Raw genomic sequence first — 24,173 nt, 5'->3', positions numbered from 1 at the left:
CAGGTTCCACGCCCACAGAGACCTCCTCCCTGGTAGCTCAGCAGTCTGAGATCAACCTGGGATGTGGGAGCTTGGCAGGGGGAGGGGCGTCCGCCATTGCTGAGGCTTGAGTAGGTGGTTCTATACACACAGTGTAAACAAAGTGGCAGGGAAGCTCGAGCTAGGTGGAGCCCACTGCAGCTCAGCAAGGCCTACTGCCTCTCTAGATTCCACCTCTGGGGGCAGGGCATATCTGAAAAAAAGGCAGCAGGCAGCTTCTCCAGACTTAAACGTCCCTGCATAACAGCTCTGAAGAGAGCAGTGGTTCTCCCAGCATGGTGTTTGAGCCCCAATAACAGAGAGACTGCCTCCTCAAGTGGGTCCCTGATCCCTGTGTAGCCTGACTTGGAGACACCTCCCAGTAGGGGCCAACAGACACCGCATACAGGCGGTTGCCCCTCTGGGACGAAGCTTCCAGAGGAAGGATCAGGCAGCAATATTTGCTGTTCTGCAGCCTCTGCTGGTGATATCCAGGCAAACAGGGTCTGGAGTGGACTTCCAGCAAACTCCAACAGACCTGCAGCTGAGTGGCCTGTCTGTTAGAAAGAAAACTAACAAACAGAAAGGAGTGGCATCAAAATCAACAAAAAGGACATCCACACAAAACCCCATCCGTAGGTTACCAACATCAAAGGACAAAGGTAGATAAAACCATGAAGATGGGGAGAAGCCAGAGCAGAAAGGCTGAAAATACCAAAAACCAGAACACCTTTTCTCCTCCAAAGGAACACAACTCCTCACCAGCAAGGGAACAAAACTGGATGCAGAATGAGTTTGACGACTTGACAGAAGTAGGCTTCAGAAGGTCGGTAATAACAAACTTCTCCAAGCTAAAGGAGCAGGTTCTAACCCATCAAAAGGAAGCTAAAAACCTTGAAAAAAAGGTTAGATGAATGGCTAACTAGAATAACCATGTAGAGAAGAGCTTAAATGTCCTGATGGAGTTGAAAAGCACAATATGAGAACTTCCTGAAGCATACACAAGTTTCAATAGCTGATTCGATCAAGTGAAGAAAGGATATCAGTGACTGAAGATCAGATTAATGAAATAAAGAGAGAAGACAAGATTAGAGAAAAAAGAGTGAAAAGAAACAAACAAAGCCTCCAAGAAATATGGGACTAGGTGAAAAGACCAAATCTACATTTGATTGGTGTACCTGAAAGTGACTGGGAGAATGGCCCCAAGTTAGAAAACACTCTTCAGGATATTATCCAGGAGAACTTCCCCAACCTAGCAAGACAGGCCAACATTCAAATTCAAGAAATACAGAGAACATCACAAAGATACTCCTCAAGAAGAGCAACCCCAAGACACATAATTGGCAGATTCACCAAGGTTGAAATGAAGGAAAAAATGTTAAGGGCAGCCAGAGAAAGGTCAGGTTACCCACAAAGGGAAGCCCATCAGACTAACAGCGGATCTCTCGGCAGAAACCCTACAAGCCAGAAGACAGTGGGGGCCAATATTCAACATTCTTAAAGAAAAGAATTTTCAACCCATAATTTCATATCCAGCCAAACTAAGATTCATAAGTGAAGGAGAAATAAAATCCTTTAGCGAGAAGCAAATGCTGAGAGATTTTTGTCACCACCAGGCCTGCCTTACAAGAGCTCCTGCAGGAAGCACTAAACATGGATAGGAATAACCAGTACCAACCACTGCAAACACATGCCAAATTGTAAAGACCATCAATGCTATGGAAAAACTGCATAAATTAATGGGAGAAATGACCAGCTAGCATCATGATGACAGGATCAAATTCAGATATAACAATATTAACCTTAAATGTAAATGGGATAAATGCTCCAATTAAAAGACACATACTGGCAAGTTGGATAAACAGTGAAGACCCATCAGCATGCTGTATTCAGGAGACCCATCACACATGCAAAGACACACAAGGCTCAAAATAAAGGGATGGAGGAAGATCTACTAAGCAAATGGAAAGCAAAAAAAAAAGCAGGGGTTGCAATCCTAGTCTCTGATAAAGCAGACTTGAAACCAACAAAGATAAAAAAGGACAAAGAAGGCCATTACATATTGGTAAAGGGATCAATTCAACAAGAAGAGCTAACTGTCCTAAATATATACACACCCAATACAGGAGCACCCAGATTCATAAAGCAAGTTCTTAGAGATCTACAAAGAGACTTAGACTCCTGCACAGTAATAATGGGAGACGTTAACACACCACTGTCAATATTAGACAGATCAATGAGACAGAAAATTAACAAGGATATCCAGGACTTCAACTCAACTCTGAACCAAGTGGACCTAATAGAAATCTACAGAACTCTCCACCCCAAATAAACAGAATATACATTCTTCTCAGCACCATATCACACTAATTCTAAAATCAACCACATAATTGGAAGTAAAACACTCCTCAGCAAATGTATAAGAATAGAAATCACAACAAACTGCCTCTCAGACCACAGTGCAATAAATTAGAAGTCAGGATTAAGAGACTCACTCAAAACCACACAACTACATGGAAACTGAACAACCTGCTCCTGAATGACTACTCAGTAAATAACAAAATGAAGGGAGAAATAAAGATGTTCTTCGAAACCAGTGAGAACAAAGACACAACGTACCAGAATCTCTGGGACACATTTAAAGCAGTGTGTAGAGGGAAATTTATACCACTAAATGCCCACAGGAGAAAGCAGGGAAGATCTAAAATTGAAACCCTAACATCACAATTAAAAGAACTAGACAGTCAAGAGCAAACAAATTCAAAAGTAGCAGAAGATAAGAAATAACTAAAATCAGAGCAGAACTAAAGGAAATAGAGACACAAAAAACCCTTCAAAAAATGAATGAATCCAGGAGCTGGTTTTTTAAAAGATCAACAAAAGAGATAGCCCAATAGCAAGACTAATAAAGAATAAAAGAGAGAAGAATCAAATAGACGCAATAAAAAATGATAAAGTGGATATCACCATCGATCCCACAGAAATTCAAACTACCATAGAGAATACTATAAACACCTCTATGCAAATAAACTAGAAAATCTAGAAGAAATGGATAAATTCCTGGACACATACACCTTTCTAAGACTAAACCAGGAAGAAGGTAAATCTCTGAATAGACCAATAACAGGTTCTGAAATTGAGGCAATAATTAATAGCCTAGCAACCAAAAAAGTCCAGGACCAGATGGATTCATAGCCAAATTCTACCAGAGGTACAAAGAGGAGCTGGGACCATTCCTTCTGAAATATTCCGATCAATAGAAAAAGAGGGAATTCTCTTTAACTCATTTTATGAGGCCAGCATCATCCTGATACCAAATCCTGGCAGAGACACAAGAAAAAAAGAGAATTTTAGGCTAACATCCCTGATGAACATCAATGTGAGAATCCGCAATAAAATACTGGCAAACCGAATCCAGCAGCACATCAAAAAGCTTATCCACCACAATCAAGTCGGCTTCATCCCTGGGATGCGAGTCTGGTTCAACATACACAAAATCAATAAACATAATCCATCACAAAAACAGAACCAACGACAAAAACCACATGATTATCTGAATAGATGCAGAAAAGGCCTTCAGAAAATTCAACAGCATTTCATGCTAAAAACTCTCAATAAAGTGGGTATCAATGGAATGTATCTCAACATAATAAGAGCTATTAATGACAAATCTACAGCCAATATCATACTGAATGGGCAAAAACTGGAAGCATTCCCTTTGAAAACTGGCACAAGACAAGGATGCCCTTTCTCACCACTCCTATTCAACATAGTATTGGAAGTTCTGGCCAGGGCAATCAGGCAAGAGAAAGAAATAAAGGGTATTTGAATAGGAAGAGAGGAAGTCAAATTGTCTCTGTTTGCAGATGACATGATTGTATATTTAGAAAACCCCATTGTCTCAGCTCAAAATCTTCTTAAGCTGATAAGCAACTTCAGCAAATTCTCTGGACACAAAATCAATGTGCAAAATCACAAGCATGCCTATACACCAATAACAGATAAACAGAGAGCCAAATCATGAGTGAACTCCCATTCACTATTGCTACTAAGAGAATAAAATACCTAGGAATCCAACTTACAAGGGATGTGAAGGACCTCTTCAAGGAGAGCTACAAACCACTGCTCAAAGAAATAAGACAGGACACAAACAAATGGAAAAATATTCCATGCTCATGGATAAGAAGAATCAATATCGTGAAAAAAGCCATACTGCCCAAAGTAATTTATAGATTCAAGGCCATCCCCATCAAGCTACCACTGACTTTCTTCACAGAATTGGAAAAATTATTTTAAAGTTCATATGGAACCAAAAAAGGGCCCGCATAGCCAAGATTAAACAAAGCATCACGGTACCTGACTTCAAGCTGTACTACAAGGCTACAGTAACCAAAACAGCATGGTACTGGTACCAAAACAGATATATAGACCAACGGAACAGAACGGAGGCCTCAGAAATAACACCACACATGTACGACCATCTGATCTTTGACAAACCTGAGACATACAAGCAATGGGGAAAAGATTCCCTATTTAATAAATGGTGCTGGGAAAACTGGTTAGCCATATGCAGAAAACTGAAACTAGACCCCTTCGTTACACCTTATACAAAAATAAACTCAAGATGGATCAAATACTTAAATGTTAGACCTAAAACCATAAAAACCCTAGAAGAAAACCTGGGCAATACCATCAGGACATAGGCATGGGCAAAGACTTCATGTCTAAAACACCAAAAGCAATGGCAACAAAAGCCAAAATTGACAAGTGGGACCTAATTAAACTAAAGAGCTTCTGCACAGTGAAAGAAACTATCATCAGAGTGAATAGGCAACTTACAGAATGGGAGAAAATTTTTGCAATCTATCCATCCGACAAAAGGCTAACATCCAGAATCTAGAAATAACTTAAAGAAATTTACAAGAAAAAAGCAAACAACCCCATCAAAAAATGGGCAAAGGATATGAACAGACAATTCTCAAAAGAAGACATTTATGCAGCCAACAGACATATGAAAAAATGCTTATCATCCCTGGTCATTAGAGAAATGCAAATCAAAACCACAACTAGATACCATCACATGCCAGTTAGAATGGCGATCATTAAAAAGTCAGGAAACAACAGATGCTGGAGAGGATGTGGAGAAATAGGATCCCTTTTACACTGTTGGTGGGAGTGTAAATTAGTTCAACCATTGTGGAAGACAGTGTGATGATTCCTCAAGGATCTAGAACTGGAAATACCATTTGACCCAGCAATCCCATTACTGGGCATATACCCAAAAGATTATAAATCATTCTACGATAAAGACACATGTACATGTATGTTTATTGCAGCACTATTCACAATAGCAAAGACTTGGAACCAACTCACATGTCCATCAGTGATAGACTGGATTAAGAAATTGTGGCACATATACACCATGGAATACTGTGCAGCCATAAAAAAGGATGAGTTCATGTGCTTTGCAGGGACATGGATGAAGCTGGAAACCATTATTCTCAGCAAACTATCACAAGATTAGAAAACCAAACACCGCATGTTCTCACTCATAAGTGGGAGTTGAACAACGAGAACACACGGACACAGGGAGGGGAACACCACACACCGGGGCCTGTCGGGGGTGGAGGGCTAGGGGAGCGATAACATTAGGAAAAATACCTAATGTAGGTGATGGGTTGATAGGTGCAGCAAACCACCATGGCACGTGTATACCTATGTAACAAAACTGCACGTTCTGCACATGTAACCCAGAACCTAAAATATACATAAAAAAAGAAAGAAAGAAAGAAAAAAGGATGGGAAGTAACATTGACCCTTTAAAACCTTATGGCGCTAATTATAATTTTTTTTTCTGAACAGAAAAAAAGGTTCCAGATTCTTAGCTTACTGAATTACCTTAAACCTAGACCAGAAGACTTTTCTAAAATCTGATAGTCAAACTGAGTATAGAAGCAGGCAAGCTATTCACAGATATTTCTCAGAAAACTAGTTGGTCAAAGTGATATTTTTTTCCTAATTTAACCAGAAATTGTCTAGTGCAAAAAGATGTATATTACTAATTCCTATAACTAGTGACACTGTATGAAACTGTGTGATTGCATAATACTATATGTTACATAAATTGACAATAAAGAGATTGCTGTCAGGTATAATCTGATGATTAATTCTTTCCTATAGTAAAATAGAAACATAGCCTTCACTTATACACTGTTAAAGGTTGAATTGTGTTCCCTCCAAAAAAATTCTGTTGAAGTTCTAACCCTCAGTACCTCAAAATGTGATCTTATTTGGAAATAGGGTCATTCCAGAGGTTAGTAATTGTTACAATGATGTAATACTGGAGTGGGGTAGGCCCCTAGTCCAATAATATTGATGTCATACAAAGACAGCCATGTGAACACATGGAAACACAGGGACACCACCATTTGAAGAGGAAACACAGATTGGCGTTGTGAACACGTGGAAACACAGGGACACCACCATTTGACGAGGAAACACAGATTGGCGTTATGAAGATTCAAGCCAAGAAATGGCAATAATTGTAAACAAATCACCAAAAGCTAGGAAGAGGCAAGAAAGGATTCCCCTACAGGTTTCGCAGAGAGAGCATGGCCCTAAAACACCTTGATTTCAGATTATTAGCCTCTAAATCTGTAAGACAATAAATTTCTATTATTTTAGGATGTGCAATTCATAGTGTTTTGTTACACAGCCTTAGAAAACTAATACAGGCCAGGCACAGTGACTCACACCCATAAACTCAGCACTTCAGGAGGCCAAGATAGGAGGATTGCTTGAGCCCAGGAGTTCAAGACAAGCCTGGGCAAAAAGACAATTCCCCATCTCTACAAAAAACTTAAAAATTAGTTGGGTGTGGTAGCGCATGCCTGTGGTCTTGGCTACTCAGGCGGCTGAGGTAGGAAGATTGCACAAGCCAGGGAGGTCAAGGCTAAAGTAAACTATGATCACACCACTGCACTCCAGCTTAGATAACAGAGTGAGACTCTGTCTCAAAAAAGAAAGAAAAAAAAAAACTAATACAAATACTAATTATCTATATAAAGTGGCCATTTCCTGTTCTATTAAACTGCATTGCATTTTTCTATGTAAAATATGCTATTCATAAGTAAAAACTGTTAAGTATTTAAGATATTTTTCATTCAAAAATATCATCCAAAGCAGTGACATCTGGCAAAATATCATAAACATTAACTGTGGTACTTTGTTTTTATTTATATTGATTATTCATGTTTAAGTCTCTGAAAATCCTAAAACATTTACTGATTCCAACAACACTGTTAAACAAATGCAAAGAAAAAAAGGTTAGGCTAGCAACATATTCAAAAATAAAGTGAAGAACCCTCCATATATACTGAAAAATCATTTTAATATGAACAATGTGATGTAGTATCAGTTGTTAGGGCCCAAATAGGAAGAAGAGAGCATCGTTGGTGTGGGGGTGGCAAAGCCAGAGCAGGGAGAGGACGGACGGGTGGTATAGCACAGGAGGACAAGGAAGCCATTTAAACTGAAGGTCTACCTAGCAAGGGTATATGAGCCTGAATATGAACAACAGGAGGTTATTCATGCAAGAGAAGAGGGAAACCCTGACACAGGTTTTGGATCCCAAGTAGGCTGAAGAAAGCCTCCTCTGCGTAGAAGGGCAGCTTGAGCCTGAGAGAGGTGAGAAGGATTTCAGCATAGGAAGACAGTTCAGCAGGGAGTACTACAGCATAGGCAGAGTGAAGATGGTATCTGCATGGGGGAGGGAGCAGCAGTAGTAGGAGATTGGTATTCCTCCTGAATATATCAAATATATTAATATATTAAGAATAATGAAGACTTCTCATTGGATAATAGGATTTCTCATCAGGTTTTTCATTGACAGAGAAGAGAGTTACTAATATGGAAAGAGAGAAAACTAGTATGAACCCTGTGACTGTAAATTGAAATTGGAAGTATTGGTATGAACGTATGATTTTCTATTGTATAGATAAATACAGAAATAAATATAGAGGTCAATATCTATATATTTATGCATATATATATATATACACACACACACTTATGCCCTAGCCATGAGAGGGTTTTAGAATGGTGATACCCCAATAGCAATAAGTACACCTGGTGCTCAAATCTTGATTTCTAATACCATTCCTTACTAAAATGAACCAGGACTCCTGGGAGAAATAGTTGATTCAAAGGCTACCAAGGAAAGTACAAGATAAGCCTGGCTCATTTTCTTGAGGCAGAAAATGATAAAGTTCTCAAAGAATTGTGGATGCATTTCCAAAGAGCATAGAAGCAAATTAGAAGAGGCTTGCACATGTCAAATCTGAGACAATGTGAGAATCAAAATAAATATTGACAGTAATAGACTATAACCAATTGAATATAAAATCATCAGTCCATATGGATTAAATACATACATACATAAATTGAAAGTTGGATAAATTGAAAGAAGAGCAAAATATTTACATGGTTTCAAGCTACCTCCCCACAAAATACTTATTAATTAAATGGGGGAATCATAATTGTGCAGCAATTTTACACCATCTCAACCAAGTATACAAACTTATCATCATAATGAGACAAATCAAAATTGTGTGCCATATAAGAAGATGCAATGAGAAGAACGCATCATCACTTCTGTGGTATTTCTGCCAATGTTATGTAACCTGAATCTAACAATAAAAAAAATCAGGCCAGGTGTGGTGGTTCACGCCTGTAACCCCAGTACTTTGGGAGGCTGAGGCAGGCAGATCACTTGAGGTCAGGAGTTTGAGGCCATCCTGACCAACATGGTGAAACCCCGTTTCTACTAAAAATACAAAAATTAGCTGGGCATGGTGGCGGGTGCCTGTAATCCCAGCTACTTGGGAGGCTGAAGTAGGAGAATCACTTGAACCTGGGAGGTGGAGGTTGCAGTGAGCCGAGATTACACCACTGCATTCCAGCCTGGGTGACAGAGTGAAACTCTGTCTCAAACAAACAAACAAACAAACAAACAAAGAAAAATAGTTACTAATTTCTGGGGAAAAGCCCACAAAAAGTCACGCAGGCTCAGCTCTGTATAACGTAATAATTTTCATAATAATTTTGATCTAACTAAAACTGTTATAATCATACTGGGTGATGAAAAGCAAGGATGTAAGTATCCATGTTTATGGGAGATAAGGAAGAAAAGAGAGTTAAGTATTCATTTTTTTGATCGGGGATTAACATGCATATAATCAAGAAAGTGAAAAGACAACCCACAGAATGGGAGAAAATATCTGCAAATCATATATCCAATAAGGGATTGGTATCCAAAATATATAAAGAACTCTCACAACTCAGTAATAAAAATACAAACAACCCAATTTAAAATGGGCAAATAATATTAATAAATATTTCTCCAAGGAAGATACAAATGGCCAATAAGCATGTAAAAAGATGCTCGACATTGTCAGTCATCATGGAAATGTATACCAAAACCATGAGACACCCGACAGGCTCACCAGAATCAAAAATTAAGATAATAACAAGTCTTGACAAGGATGTGGAGAAATCAGAACCCTCAAACACTGCTGGTGGATACCTAAAATGATAAAGTCACTTTGCAAAACAATCCAGCAGTTCCTCAAATTATTAAACATAGAGTTATCACATGACCCAGCAATTCCATTCCTAGGTATATATCAAGACAAATGAAAAATGTATGTCCCTAGAAAAACCTGCACACAAATATTCATAGCATTATTCATAATAGTCAAAAGTGAAAACAACCTAAATAGCCATCAACTGATAAACTGATAAACCAAATGTGTTATATCCATACAATGGAATATTATTTGTCAATACAAAGAATAAAGTATTGATAAATGCTACAACATGAAACTTGAAAACGTTATGCTAAGTTAAAAATCCAGTCACAAAAGACTACCTGTACATACTAAAATGTTCCATTTATATAAAATGTCCAGGATAGGCAAATCTGTAGAGACAGACAATAGATTACTGGTTGTCTAAGGCTGGGGAAACGGGGGTTAGAAGGAATGGGAAGTTATTGCTAGTGGTTGCAGGATTGCTTCTGGGAATGATTAAAATGTTCTAAAATTGACTGTGGTGATGGTTGTACAACTCTGTGAATGCATTAAAGACAATTAAATTGTAGGCTTTGAATGTGTGAATTGTAATCTATGTAATTACATCTCAATAAAGCTGTCTTATTTTTAAAAATGAATTGTGAAATATATGTAGAAGTTAAACATGTTACAATAATAGCATAATGGTAGGGAAGAGGGAAATGATGGTATACTAGTGCAAGGCTCTTATATCATATGTAAAGTATTATAATATTATTTAAAGTGGTCTGAGGCTGTGTCCGATGGTTCACACCTATAATCCCAACATTTTGGAAGGCCTAGGCAGGTGGATCGCTTGAGGTTAGGAGTTTGAGACCAGCCTGGCCAACATGGCAAAACCCCATCTGTACTAAAAATACCAAAGTTAGCATGGCATGGTGGCATGCCTGTAGTCCCAGCTACTAGGGAGGCTGAGGCACAAGAATCACTTGAAGCCGGGAGACAGAGGTGGCAGTGAGCCGAGATGGCGCCACTGCACTCCAGCCTGGGTGACAGAGCAAGACTCTGTCCCAAAAAATAAAATAAAAAATAAACAAAAATGGACTGAATTCAGCTAAAGATGTAGTCTATAAACCCTAAGTCAATAATTAAGCTAATGAAGGCAATGAGTTATATCTAATAAGCCAACAAAGGAAATGAGATGGAATCATAAAAAAATACAAAAGAAGGCAGAAAAAAAGAAACAAGGGAGCAAACAGATGAGAAAAATGAAAAAAAAAACGATGGCAGATTTAAATAAAAACATATCAATAATCTTATTAAGTGTAAATGTAATAAATACCTCAATTAAAAGTAAGGTATTCTCTGATTGTATGCAAAAAGTTAAGACTTAACTATATGTCACCTACAAAAAACCTTCTTTAAATATAAAGACAAAAATAAGTTAAAAGCAAAAGGATGGTAAAGATATGCCATGGCAACACTAACCAAAAGAAAGCTGGAGTGGCTATATTAATATTAGATGCAGTAGATTTCATAGCAAAAAATACTACTAGGGATAAAAAAGCATCATTTCATAATGACAACAGGCTCAATTTATAGAGGATATAGCAATCTTAAATGTTTATGAATCTAATAACAAAGATTCCAAATACATTAGATAAAAACTGATAAAACTGAAAGGAAAAATAGACAAATCCACAATTACATTTGGAGATTTTGACACTCCTTTCTTAATAACTGATAGAACAAATAGAAAAACAAAACAAAACAAAACAAAAAAACGTAAAACACCATAAGGATATAGGAGATTTGAAGAACACTACCACACAACTTGAACAAAGTGACATTTATGGAACGCTCCAACCAACAACAGCAAAATACACATTGTTTTCAAGTTCACATGGAACATTTACCAAGATTAACTCTATTTTGGGCCATAAAAAAAGTCAATAAAGCTAAAAGGATCTATATTATATAATACATGGTCTCTGATCATTGGGAATTAAATTAGAAACCAATAACAAAAAGATATTTGGAAAGTCCCCAAATACTGGAAATAAAATAACATACCTCTAAAAACCCATACATCAAAGAATGTTTAAAAAGAAATTAGAAAGTGTTTTGACCTTTTTGAAAGAAAAAGAAATCACAACATATCTAAAATTGTGGAATACAGCTAAAGCATTACTCAGAGAGAAATTTATAGTACTAAAATGCTTATATTAGAAGGAAAAAAGTTCTCAAATCAATGACCTCAGCTTCCTCCTTTACAACCTCAAAAAAGAACAGTAGGCACAGAGTAAGCAGAAGAGTGATAAAACCAGAAATCAGTGAAATAAAGAACAGGAGCAAAAAAGAGAAACCAATGAAATAGAAAGTTGGCTCCTTGAGAATACCAATAAAATTGATAATATCTAGCCAGGCTGATTAAGAAAAACAGAGAACATATTAAAATTATCAGTATCAGGAATGAGAGAGTGTATCACTGCCAATTTTACAGATATAAGGAGGATATTATGAGATAGTTTATGCTGATACATTGAAAAGTTGGGTGAAATGAAAAATTCTTTAAAAGACACAAGGTACCAAAGCTTGTTCAAGAAGAAACAGATAACCTGAAGAGCACTATGCCTATTTAATAAGTGGAATTTATAGTTAAAAACCTTCCTACCAAAAAAATTCCAGGCTTTAATGGCTTCATTTGTAAATTCTACCAAATATGTAAGGAAGAAATAATACCAGTTCTATGTAAACTCTACCAGAAAATTAAAGAGGAAGGGCTACTTCCAAACTTATTTTATGAGGGCTGCTAATTTAATTCCAAACATCAGTTGTTTTAGGTTACTTCCCATTTGTATACATTGAAGTATAAGCAGCTTCAATTATTTAAGGAAACTCAGTTCTGTGCCTGCCCAACAGCTAAAGCTTTTCAATCTAGTGATGATTTTATTATAAATGAACCTTAAGAGTATTTTCTTTATAATACAAAAAGGCTTCCCAAATATAGATTAGCTTTCAATGGATTTACAAATGTCATCAAATTGTAAATTAAATTTTATTGATGTGCAAGACTTTTCTTTTTATGCATATGGGCAAAAATATACCTGTATTTCATTATAGTAAATATTCTTCAGTTCATCTTAAATGGAAGAATGAAAGCTATTATTACTTTCTTTGCAGAATATACCCATAAGCACTATTTAAATTGGAAAAATATCCAGAAAATGTGTTGTTTCATTCTTAAAGGTTAAGAATATTTAAAGACTTGGCCAAGCATGGTGGCTCACACCTGCAATCCCAGTACTTTGGGAGGCCGAGGTGGGCAGATCACTTGAGGTCAGGAGTTCGAGATCAGCCTGGCCAACATGGTGAAACCCCATCTCTACTAAAAATACAAAAATTAGCCAGGCATGGTAGTGCATGCCTGTAATCCCAGCTACTTGGGAGGCTGAGGCAAGAGAATCACTTGAACCTGAGAGACAGAGGTTGCAGTGAGCCAAAATCGCACCACTGCACTCCAGCCTTGGTGACAGAGTGAGACTCCATCTCAAAAATAATAATAATAATATTTGAAGACTAATCAAACTTCACATAATGATCACTTTTAAGAAGAATCTTTAGCTCTAATATATTTTAGTTAGTTAGTTATTAGGCAAATATTATTATAGTCTAAGTCTTTTGAAAATTATATATAACTCCTTAATATTTGATCAGTGAAAATAGGCCAATTCCTCAACTATCTAAAAAGCAATTTTTTTTTGTGACAAGGCCTCACTATGTTACCCAGGCTGGAGTGCAGTGATGCGAACACAGCTCACTGCAGCCTTGACCTCCCAAGGCTTAAGTTATCCTCCCACCTCAGCCTCCCCAGGAGCTGGGACTACAAGCATGCAACAGCATGCCCAGCTAATTTTTTGATCCTTTGTAGAGATGGGGTCTCACTTTCTTGCCCAGGCTTGTCTTGAACTGCCTTGACCTCCCAAAGTGTTGGGATTATAGGCATGAGCCACCATGCCGGGCTGAAATTTTAAATTTCACTATAACATACAGGATAATACATTAGGAAAAAAGTTTCCTCTACAGTGGCATAAAATACTCCAGATATCAATAATGAAGGACTTTCCCAAAACATTTTGATATTTTCCAATTGTTACATTACATTAAGACAAGTTCCATCAAATAATGTATAATAATATAATACAAAATGTATACAAAAACATACCGTGTCTTGCTTTGGAATTTGGACTAAAACAGAAAGAAGCTGCTCTGTATCAAGAAATCTTGATATAACTGAAACAAACAAACAAATGTGAGTATTTAAACTTTATGGTACAGTTCAAAATATTGACTATGTAAAATATTATCCTCAAAGAATAAAATAGAACAGTTCTACCTACAAATATTACTTTTTGTCTTCTTTAACTATCTTACATGTAAAATGAATATAACTAAATTCTAATGCTCTTTTGTTAATTTTGATTACTCAATCTCACCTCAAAATTTAATGCTGCTAACCATCCCTTCTGCTATGATTTGCCTGTCCCCACCAAAACTCATGTTGAAACCTTAATTCCTAGTGTGGCGATGTTGGGAGATAAAACATTTAATAGGTGGAGTCTAGTGGAAAACATTTGGGTCACAGAGGCTCCACTCTCATGGGCAGCTTAGTGCCATTCCTACCGTGATGAGTGAGTTAACCCCTTAATAAAACTGGATTAGTTTACACAGAAAGGGACTAGTTCCCACACAAGAACAGGTTGTTAGAAAGTGAGGATGCCCCTCATTTTGCTCTTAGCATATGTCTATTTCCTCCTTGACCATCCTCCATGTTATGATGCATCATGAAAGCCCTGACCAGAGGCTGAGTAGATGCCAATGCCATACTCTTGGACTTTCCAGTCACTGGAATTGTGACCCAAATAAACTCGTTTCTTCGTAAATTACCCAGCCTCAGGTATTCTATTATAGCAACACGACTTACCCTCATTCTTGAAACTCTACTTCTCTGGTTTTGATATTGTCTATCATAATTTTCTTCTCATCTTTTTGATCTCTACTTTTCTTCATGATATTTAAAAGATCCTTAGTTTAAAAGTATAGTTCAACCACTAACCACATAACTTCCCAAGAGTTACCTAACTTCTCTAAACAATAGCTGTTCTCATCTTTTAAATGCTGATAACATCTACCTCCCAGGTGTGTTGTGAGAATTAAGTGAGGTAATACTTGTGCTACGGTTTGAATATGATCCCCAACGTTCATGTGTTGGAAACTTGATCCCCAATGCAACTGTCTTGAGAGGTAGGATCTTTAAGAGATGGTTAGGTCATGAGGGCTCTGCCTCTGTGAGTGAATTAGTGCTATTATCATGAGAGTGGGTTCTTGATAAAAGGATGAGTTCAGCTCCCTTCCTCTCATATGCATGCATGCTCTCTTGCCCTTCCACCATGTTATGATGCAGCAGGAAGGCCCTCACCAGATGTGAGCCACTTGACTTTGATCTTCCCCACCTCCAGAACTGTAAGAAATAAATCTCTGTCCTTTATAAATTACTCAGTCTCAGATATTCTGTTATAGCAGCACAAAACAAACTAAGATAGAAAATTGGTACCAAGACTGGGGTTGTTGCTATAACAAATACCTGAAAATGTGGAAGCAGGTTAGGAATTGGGTAATAGGAATGGGTAGAGGTTGGAAGAATTTGGAGGAGCAGGTTAGAAAAAGCCCAGATTGCCATGAACAGAAGAACATTAAGGGCAATTCTAGTGAAGGCTCAGAAAAAGGAAAGAAATGTAAGGAAAGTCTGGAATGTTGTAAAGACTACTTAAGTGGTCATGATCAGAACATTGGTAGAAATATGGAAAGTAAAGGCCATTCTGATGAGGACTCAGGTGGAACTGAAAAACAAAATCTTGGAAACTGGAGTAAAGGCCATCCTTGTTACAGTTGAAAAGAACTTGGCAGAACTGTATCCATGTCCTAGGATATTGTGGAAGGCAGAACTTAAGAGGAATGAACTAGGATATCTGGCAGAAGAGCTACCTAGGCAGTAAAGCATTCAAGATGTTGCATAGCTTCTTTCAGTCACTTACAGTAAAATGAGAGAAGGGAGAAATACTTTAAAGATGACATTTATAATTTAAAAAGAAGCAGAATAAACAAATTATGAAAACTCTTAGCCTGGCCACATAAAATGTATGTTTGGGGGAGAATACTAAGGGTGTGGTCAAGTGATTGCTAAAAATATTAGTATAGAAAGAAGCCAGGTTCTATTCATGAAAACAATGAGAATGACCCCAAAAACATTTCAGAGATCTAGGGAAGCTAGGACCTTGAGGGCAAGGTTTCCAGCAAGGTGCTTGTGAGACCTCAGCATTTGCTGCCCTGCAGCACCTTGGAACTCTGCTTCCTTAATTCTGGCATAGCACCTCTCAGCCACCACAACTGTAGCTCAGGTGAGCCCAGCTGCAGCTCAACCCACTGCTCCAGAAGGTATAAGCTGTGTATCTTGGCAGTGTCCACATGGTGCTAATTCTGCAGGCACACAGAATACAATAGGTATGAAGCCATGGTGGCTTCTGCCTAAATTTCAAAGGATGTTGAGGACAGCCTGGGGCCCAGGCAGAGACTTATCATGGGGCAGAGCCACCACAGAGAACCTACCACAGAAAGCCCCCACTATGCCTGGTGGAGCCATAGGATAGAGGCCATCATTCACAGAGTCCCCACTAGGGCAATGCCTAGTAAAGCCATGGGAGTGGGTAATCACCCCCTACCTCCCCACCCTGAGACCACAGAACTATAGGGGGCACAAGCATGTAACTCCAATCTGAGAAAGCCATGGGCATGAGACTGCAAACCATGAGAGCTGCTGAGTGGACTAAGCCCTGACGCTGCCTGAGGCCTTGAGAGCCCTACTTCTTCCCCACTGTGCCCCTGATGTGGGATATGGAGTCAAAGAAGATTCTTCTTCTTAAGACTTACTGTTGTTTTCCTTGTGAGGTTTGAACTGATTTCCTTGGGCCTGTTACTCCTTTCTTATTGCCTATTTCTCCCTTTTGTAATGGGAATGTTTATCCTATGCCTGTCCCAACATTTTGGATGTAGATAACTTTTTTAATTTCATAGGCTCATAGCTGGTGGGGAATTTGCCTCAGGAGGAATCATGCCTTGAGTCTCACATATCTGATTCAGATGAGATTCTGGACTTTTGAGTAAGTGTTGAAACAAGTTAAGACTTTAGGCCTATTGGGATGAAATGAATGTATTTTGCATGTGAGAAGGACATGAATTTGAGGGAGCCAGGAGCAGAGTGCTATGGTTTGAATGTGTCCCCAAAGTTCATGCATTAGAAACTTAATCTCAGTGCAACCTTGTTGAGAGGTGGGACCTTTAAAGGGTGATTAGGTGAAGAGGGCTCTGCCCTCATGAATGGATTAATGCCATTATCACAGAAGTGGGTTACTTGTTCTGGAAGTAAATTCTGGATAAAAGGATGAGTTTGCTCCCCTTCCTCTCTCTCTTGTATGTGTGCTCTCTTGTCCTTCTGCCTTTTGGCGTGGGATGATGCATCAAGAAGGCCCTCACCAGATACAGGTCCCTTAACCTTGCAGATCCCAGCCTTCAGAACTGTAAGAAATAAATCACTGTTCTTTATAAATTACCTAGTCTCAGGTATTTTATTACTGCAACACAAATAGACTATGGCAATGTGTAAAGTGTCTTGCATGTACCACCACTCAAAAACTTATTTTATTCTTCTCAATTTATTTTCCAGCTTACAGTGTTCTACAAAAATAAATTTATAGAAAATTGTAAACTATCCCTTTTAAATATCCCCAGGTATTTTTTTAAAAAACTTTTAACCATTTCAGCCCAGGTGTGGTGGCTTACACCTATAATCCCAGCACTTTGGGAGGCCAAGGCAGGAGATCACTTGAGCTTAGGAGTTTGAGACCAGCCTTGGCAACACAGTGAGACCCTGTCTCTACAAAAAATACAACAATCAGCCATGTGGGATGGTGCCCACCTGTAGTCCCAGCTACTCAGGAGGCTGAGGTGGGAGGATGGCTTGAGCCAGGGAGATAGAAGTTGCAGTGAGCCAAGATTGTGCCACTGCACTCCAGCCTGGGCAACAGAGTCAGACTCTGTCTCAAAAAAATTAATAAAAATAAATATAAATAAGTAATAAACTTTAACCATTTAACATAGAGATTGTTTTAAAATGTACTTATTTCCCCATACTTGAAATACAGTGAACAATGATAACTATTTCTTAATGACTCATGGTTATTATCATAGTAATATATAACATTAAAAGTTTTTGTGTAGACTTATTAACACTCTCAAAGTGGTGTCATGCTGTTATCCCTTAAAACACAAAATAAGAGCCGGGCGTGGTGGCTTACGCCTGTAATCCCAGCACTTTGGGAGGCCGAGGCAGGTGGATCACCTGAGGTCAGGAGTTCGAGACCAGCCAGACCAACATGGAGAAACCCCATCTCTACTAAAACTACAAAATTAGCCAGGCATGGTGGTGCATGCCTGTAATCCCCGCTACTCGGGAGGCTGAGGCAGGAGAATCGCTTGAACCCGGGAGGCGGAGGTTACAGTGAGCCGAGATCACTCCATTGCATTCCAGCCTGGGCAGCAAGGGTGAAACTCCATCTCAAAAAAAAAAAGAAACCCACAAAATAAGAAAATGTTTATTTTACCTGCTACCTGTTCAAACTGTCAGGTGTCTTTTGATAGTTTTCAGTTTGCCTACCTCTAGAACTGTCCCCTTTCTAATTTTCTGTTTCTATGGTAATTCATTATGTTAAAACTGTTTTGAGGCCTAAGCTCTGATTTTGTATCTGGCCCAAATTCCTACCTAAGGGGTCTAGGGAGTTATGCCCTACAAACCATAGATTCTCATGAGATGGGTTTTATTTGACCCTGCATATTGTGATTTGCTTTTCAATCTGACTCTGGCATAACATTATGAAACAAGGAATACAATATTTAACCCCAAAATATATGTCCTTGCCATGCCTTGAAATTGCCCTGCAAAGTCTCTTGTGGGAATAATTCACATTCTATAGAGAATCCCCTTACCCCTTCGTTTTCTGTAGGGTCCAGCCCCACAGGGTGGGTGAGTTTCTCCCCGTGTGCAGCAACGAGAGAGTGTAGAAATAAAGACACAAGACAAAGAGATAAAAGAAAAGGCAGCTGGGCCAGGGGACCACTATGACCAATGCACGGAGACCGGTAGTGGCCCCGAATGTCTGGCTGCGCTGTTATTTATTGGATACAAAGCAAAAGGGGCAGGGTAAAGAGTGTGAGTCATCTCCAATGATAGGTAAGGTCACGTGGGTCACGTGTCCACTGGACAGGTGGCCCTTCCCTGCCTGGCAGCCGAGGCAGAGAGAGAGAGGAGACAAAGAGAAGGACAGCTTATGCCATTATTTCTGCATATCAGAGACTTTTAGTACTTTCACTAATTTATTACTGCTATCTAGAAGGCAGAGCCAGGTGTACAGGATGGAACACGAAGGCAGACTAGGAGTGTGACCACTGAAGCACAGCATCACAGTGAGACTGTTAGGCCTCCGGATAACTGTGGACGAGCCTGACTAATGTCAGGCCCTCCACAAGAGGTGGAGGAGTAGAGTCTTCTCTAAACTCCCCTGGGGAAAGGGAGACTCCCTTTCCCGGTCTGCTAAGTAGCGGGTGTTTTCCCTTGACACTTATGCTACCGCTAGACCAAGGTCCGCCTGGCAACGGGCGTCCTCCCAGACGCTGGCATTACCACTAGACCAAGGAGCCCTCTGGTGGCCCTGTCCGGGCATAACAGAAGGCTCGCACTCTTGTCTTCTGGTCACTTCTCACTGTGTCTCCTCAGCTCCTATCTCTGTATGGCCTGGTTTTTCCTAGGGTATGATTATGGAGTGAGGATTATTATAATATTGGAATAAAGAGTAATTGCTACAAACTAATGATTAATGATATTCATATATAATCATATCTAAGATCTATATCTGGTATAACTATTCTTGTTTTATATTTTACTATACTGGAACAGCTCCTGTCCTCGGTCTCTTTCCTTGGGGCCTGGGTGGCTTGCTGCCCACAGTTTTCCTTCCTTTCTTTCCAGATCCAGAAGATAATCAACTAAGAGCCAGGCATCCTTTCAGGTCCAGTGAGAAACATTTTACAACCTGCTATCTCTCTGAAGTCTGCTATCTGAGAGATTCCTCTACACAATAAAACTTGGTCCCCATAATCCTTTATCTTAACCTGAACATTCCCAGGTCTTCAGATAAACTCAACCAATTGTCAACTAGAAAATGTTTAAATTTACCTACAGTCTGGAAGTCCCACCGCCTGCTTTGAGTTGTCCTGCCTTTCTGAACCAAACCATTGTACTTCTTAAATGTATTTGATTGATGTCTCATGCCTCCCTAAAATATACAAAACCAAGCTGTACTCCGACTATCTTGGGCACATGTTCTCAGGACCTCCTGAGGGCTGTGTTCATGGGCCATGGTCACTCATATTTGGCTCAAAATAAATCTCTTCAAATATTTTACAGAGTTTGGCTCTTTTCGCCAATAGTTTAAAAAATTAGAATAGGCTGAATATATTGCGGTTATATTCTTCATTATGTGCAATATGGCACAATACTATTATGACATTTTACATGTGATTCTATTAGTCAGACTCCCTTTAGCCCTCATTTATATTGCTCTTTCTCTTTCCAGACTCCTCCTTCTTCCTTTCCCCAAATCTATCACTACAACCAGAATGTTTCTAAAATAGGATTTGATCAGTACTCTCTAGGTTCAGAATGTCAGCTCCATATTGCCTGAAGGAAAAAAATTAAACTCCTTAGCATTATAAAAAGGCCCTTCATAGTCTAGTCTCAATCCTCATTTCCTGCCATTCCCCAAGGCTTTAAGTCATAAATAACTACTGGCCAATCCTTAAATACAGCAAGCTCTTTTATATCAACCTAAGTACAGCCAGGCACAGTGACTTGTGCCTGCAATCCCAGCACTTTGGGAGGTTGAGATGAGAGGATTGCTTGAAGTCAGGAGTTCAAGTTCAGCCTGGGCAACAGAGCAAGACCCTGGCTCTACAAAAAATGTAAAAATTAGCCAGGCATGGTGGTGCAGGCCTGTAGACATAGCTTCTCAAGAGGCTGCAGCAAAAGGATCACTTGAACCCAGAGGTTTGTTATAGTAAGATATGATAGTGCCACTGCACTATAGTCTGGGTGACAGAGTGAGACCCTGTGAAAGAAAGAGAGAGAGAACAAAAAAAAAGAAGAGAAAGCGGGAGGGAGGGAGGGAGGGAGGGAAGGAAATGACTGGTCAAGATCATAGCCAATGGCGTGCATACCAGATCCTTATCCTAACCACTATATCCAAAAAACATCTGCATTACTGCTATGGACATCAACATACCTTGCACAGGCATGTTCCCTTCATCTCGAATATCACTGCTAGGATTCTCCTGTTGCTAAAATCCTACTCCTTCTTTTAAGACAAAGCTGAAATATTATTCCTGCAAATCCCATCTGGATTCTGTCTTTATCCCAACTCCCTTCTCTGTGTTCCCATGAACTACTCAATTGTTATTGCATGTATCACATTGCATCAAAATTATTTAATTAGAGTTCTGTTGCCCGAACATGGATGTGAGGTCCTTGAGGACAGATATAGCTTAATGTTCCTCATCTTTTTATCCCTAACACTTATAGAATGCCTATAATAAAGGAGGTAATGGGTTTTTTTTAAAAGGTTTAGATTCTTATATTTTATTTTATTTTATTTTTTATTTTATTATTATTATACTTTAAGTTTTAGGGTACATGTGCACAATGTGCAGGTTAGTTACATATGTATACATGTACCATGCTGGTGTGCTGCACCCATTAACTCATCATTTAGCATTAGGTATATCTCCTAAAGCTATCCCTCCCCCCTCCCCCACCCCACAACAATCCCCAGAGTGTGATGTTCCCCTTCCTGTGTCCATGTGTTCTCATTGTTCAATTCCCACCTATGAGTGAGAATATGCAGTGTTTGGTTTTTTGTTCTTGTGATAGTTTACTGAGAATGATGATTTCCAATTTCATCCATGTCCCTACAAAGGACATGAACTCATCATTTTTTATGGCTGCACAGTATTCCGTGGTGTATATGTGCCACATTTTCTTAATCCAGTCTATCATTGTTGGACATTTGGGTTGGTTCCAAGTCTTTGCTATTGTGAATAGTGCCGCAATAAACATACGTGTGCATGTGTCTTTATAGCAGCATGATTTATAGTCCTTTGGGTATATACCCAGTAATGGGATGGCTGGGTCAAATGGTATTTCTAGTTCTAGATCCCTGAGGAATCGCCACATTGACTTCTGCAAGGGTTGAACTAGTTTACAGTCCCACCAACAGTGTAAAAGTGTTCCTGTTTCTCCACATCCTCTCCAGCACCTGTTGTTTCCTGACTTTTTAATGATTGCCATTCTAACTGGTGTGAGATGGTATCTCATTGTGGTTTTGATTTGCATTTCTCTGATGGCCAGTGATGGTGAGCATTTTTTCATGTGTTTTTTGGCTGCATAAATGTCTTCTTTTGAGAAGTGTCTGTTCATGTCCTTCACCCACTTTTTGATGGGGTTGTTTGTTTTTTTCTTGTAAATTTGTTGGAGTTCATTGTAGATTCTGGATATTAGCCCTTTGTCAGATGAGTAGGTTGCAAAAATTTTCTCCCATTTTGTAGGTTGCCTGTTCACTCTGATGGTAGTTTCTTTTGCTGTGCAGAAGCTCTTTAGTTTAATTAGATCCCATTTGTCAATTTTGGCTTTTGTTGCCATTGCTTTTGGTGTTTTAGACATGAGATTCTTATATTTTAATAAACTGTAAAAATTACCCTCCCACTCTGCCCTATGCCCTGCTGCTCTACTTTATTGTGTGTTAAGATAAATTACAAACCATTAAGACATAGAAAACATGGCATATACCTGTAATCCCAACACTTTGGGAGGTCAAGGCAGGTGGATCACTTGAGGTCAGGAGTTTGAGACCAGCCTGGCCAACATGGTGAAACGCCATCTCTATTAAAAATACAAAAATTAGCCAGGCATGGTGGTGGGCGCCTGTAATCCCAGCTACTTGGGAGGCTGAGGCTGGAGAATTGCTTGAACCCAGGAGGCAGAGGTTGCAGTGAGCCAAGATTGTGCCACTGCACTCCAGCCTGGGTGACAGAGTGAAACTCTGTCTCAAAAAAAAGAAAAGAAAAAGATATAGAAAACAGAGAAATGTTTATTTATAGATATCACTTTGAAATTTTCAGTCATAAGGAATTTAAAAACTTAAAATATATCAAAATTAAAGTTTAAAAAAATCCAAGTTTATCATCAAAATTTTATCATACAAACAGTATTGTCTTGGGAATAACAGAATACAATTTCAACAGATTCAACAACAAATCAATAGTTTAACAAATATGTTAAACTGTTATGTCCTAGCCTTATATAAGAATTATCAAACAAAACATGCATTTACAAAAAGAAAAATAAGTGTCATCATAACAAGATACTACAGGAAACATGTATTAAAGATGCCTAACACTGACTTGCGGAATTAGAAAGGCCTGTAGCAAAAGTCACATCTAAACTGGAATGATAAAAGATGAACTGCAGTTAGCTAGAGAAGCCTGGGAGAAGGGGTTGCAGGGAAGGAGGAAGAGGTATTCTAGGCAAAAATTACAGCGTTCCAAAGCCAGAAAATGACAGCAGATATGTTTAAGTAACTTAAAGAAGTTCATTTAGACTAGAAGAGAAAATGGAGAGTGAAGAGTATCAAGAGATGCTGTGGGAGATTACAGGAAAACAGCTATATAGAAAAGTTTGCATTTTAATCTAAAAGTTGTGAGAAGAGAATCTAAAGAGAAAAGATTGAAGGATTTTATGCAGATGAGTATGGTAACCACCACCCTCCCCCAGACCCCCAAAGAGATCTGCTTCCTAATTTCTGGAATTTGTGAATATGTTAACTGATAAAAGGAAGTTTCTAGTTGGGATTAAATTAAGGGTCTTGAGATGGAGAGATTATCCTGGATTGTCTCTTGGCCCCAGTGTAATCTTAAGAGTCCTTACAAGAGGGTGGCAGGAGGATCAGTGTCAGAGAGAGAAGATATAAGTACAAAAGCAGAAGTCAGAGGAAGGGAAAATGATCTACTTCTGGCTTTAAAGATAGAGGAAGGGCTAAGAGCCAAGAAATGTAGGCGGCCTCTAGAAAGTAGAAAGAGCAAGGAAATGGACTCCCCCTCCAGAGCCTTTGGAAAAATGTAGACCTGCTGACATACTGATTTTAGCCCAGTGAAACTGATTTCAGACCTCCAGAACTGTGAGATAATACATTCGTGTTGTTTTAAGCCCCTAAATTTGTGGTGATGTTTTATATCAACATTAAGAAATGAATACAGAGTGATAGTCTCAGATTTATGTTTTCAAAAGATCACTCAGGCAACAATGTAGAGAAAAGGCTAGAAACAGCAAGGTTGGAGAAGGGTGACCAAATAGGAGGCTCTTATAAG

The 24,173-nt window shown here is 38.9% G+C and overlaps 1 protein-coding gene across 1 annotated transcript in view; it reads right to left on the bottom strand.

The window, feature by feature from the left end:
* Window positions 1-24,173, bottom strand: part of MSH4 (mutS homolog 4) — a 116,361-nt gene that overhangs the window by 51,154 nt on the left and 41,034 nt on the right. The window contains exon 8 of the mRNA NM_002440.4: window positions 13,813-13,880. Within this exon, the coding sequence (NP_002431.2) occupies window positions 13,813-13,880 (68 nt within the window). The remainder of the gene's footprint in view (window positions 1-13,812; window positions 13,881-24,173) is intronic.

This window comes from Homo sapiens, chromosome 1, assembly GCF_000001405.40.
Source record: "Homo sapiens chromosome 1, GRCh38.p14 Primary Assembly".
Lineage (NCBI taxonomy): Eukaryota > Metazoa > Chordata > Mammalia > Primates > Hominidae > Homo > Homo sapiens.
This window is presented reverse-complemented; position numbering and strand designations above follow the sequence as displayed.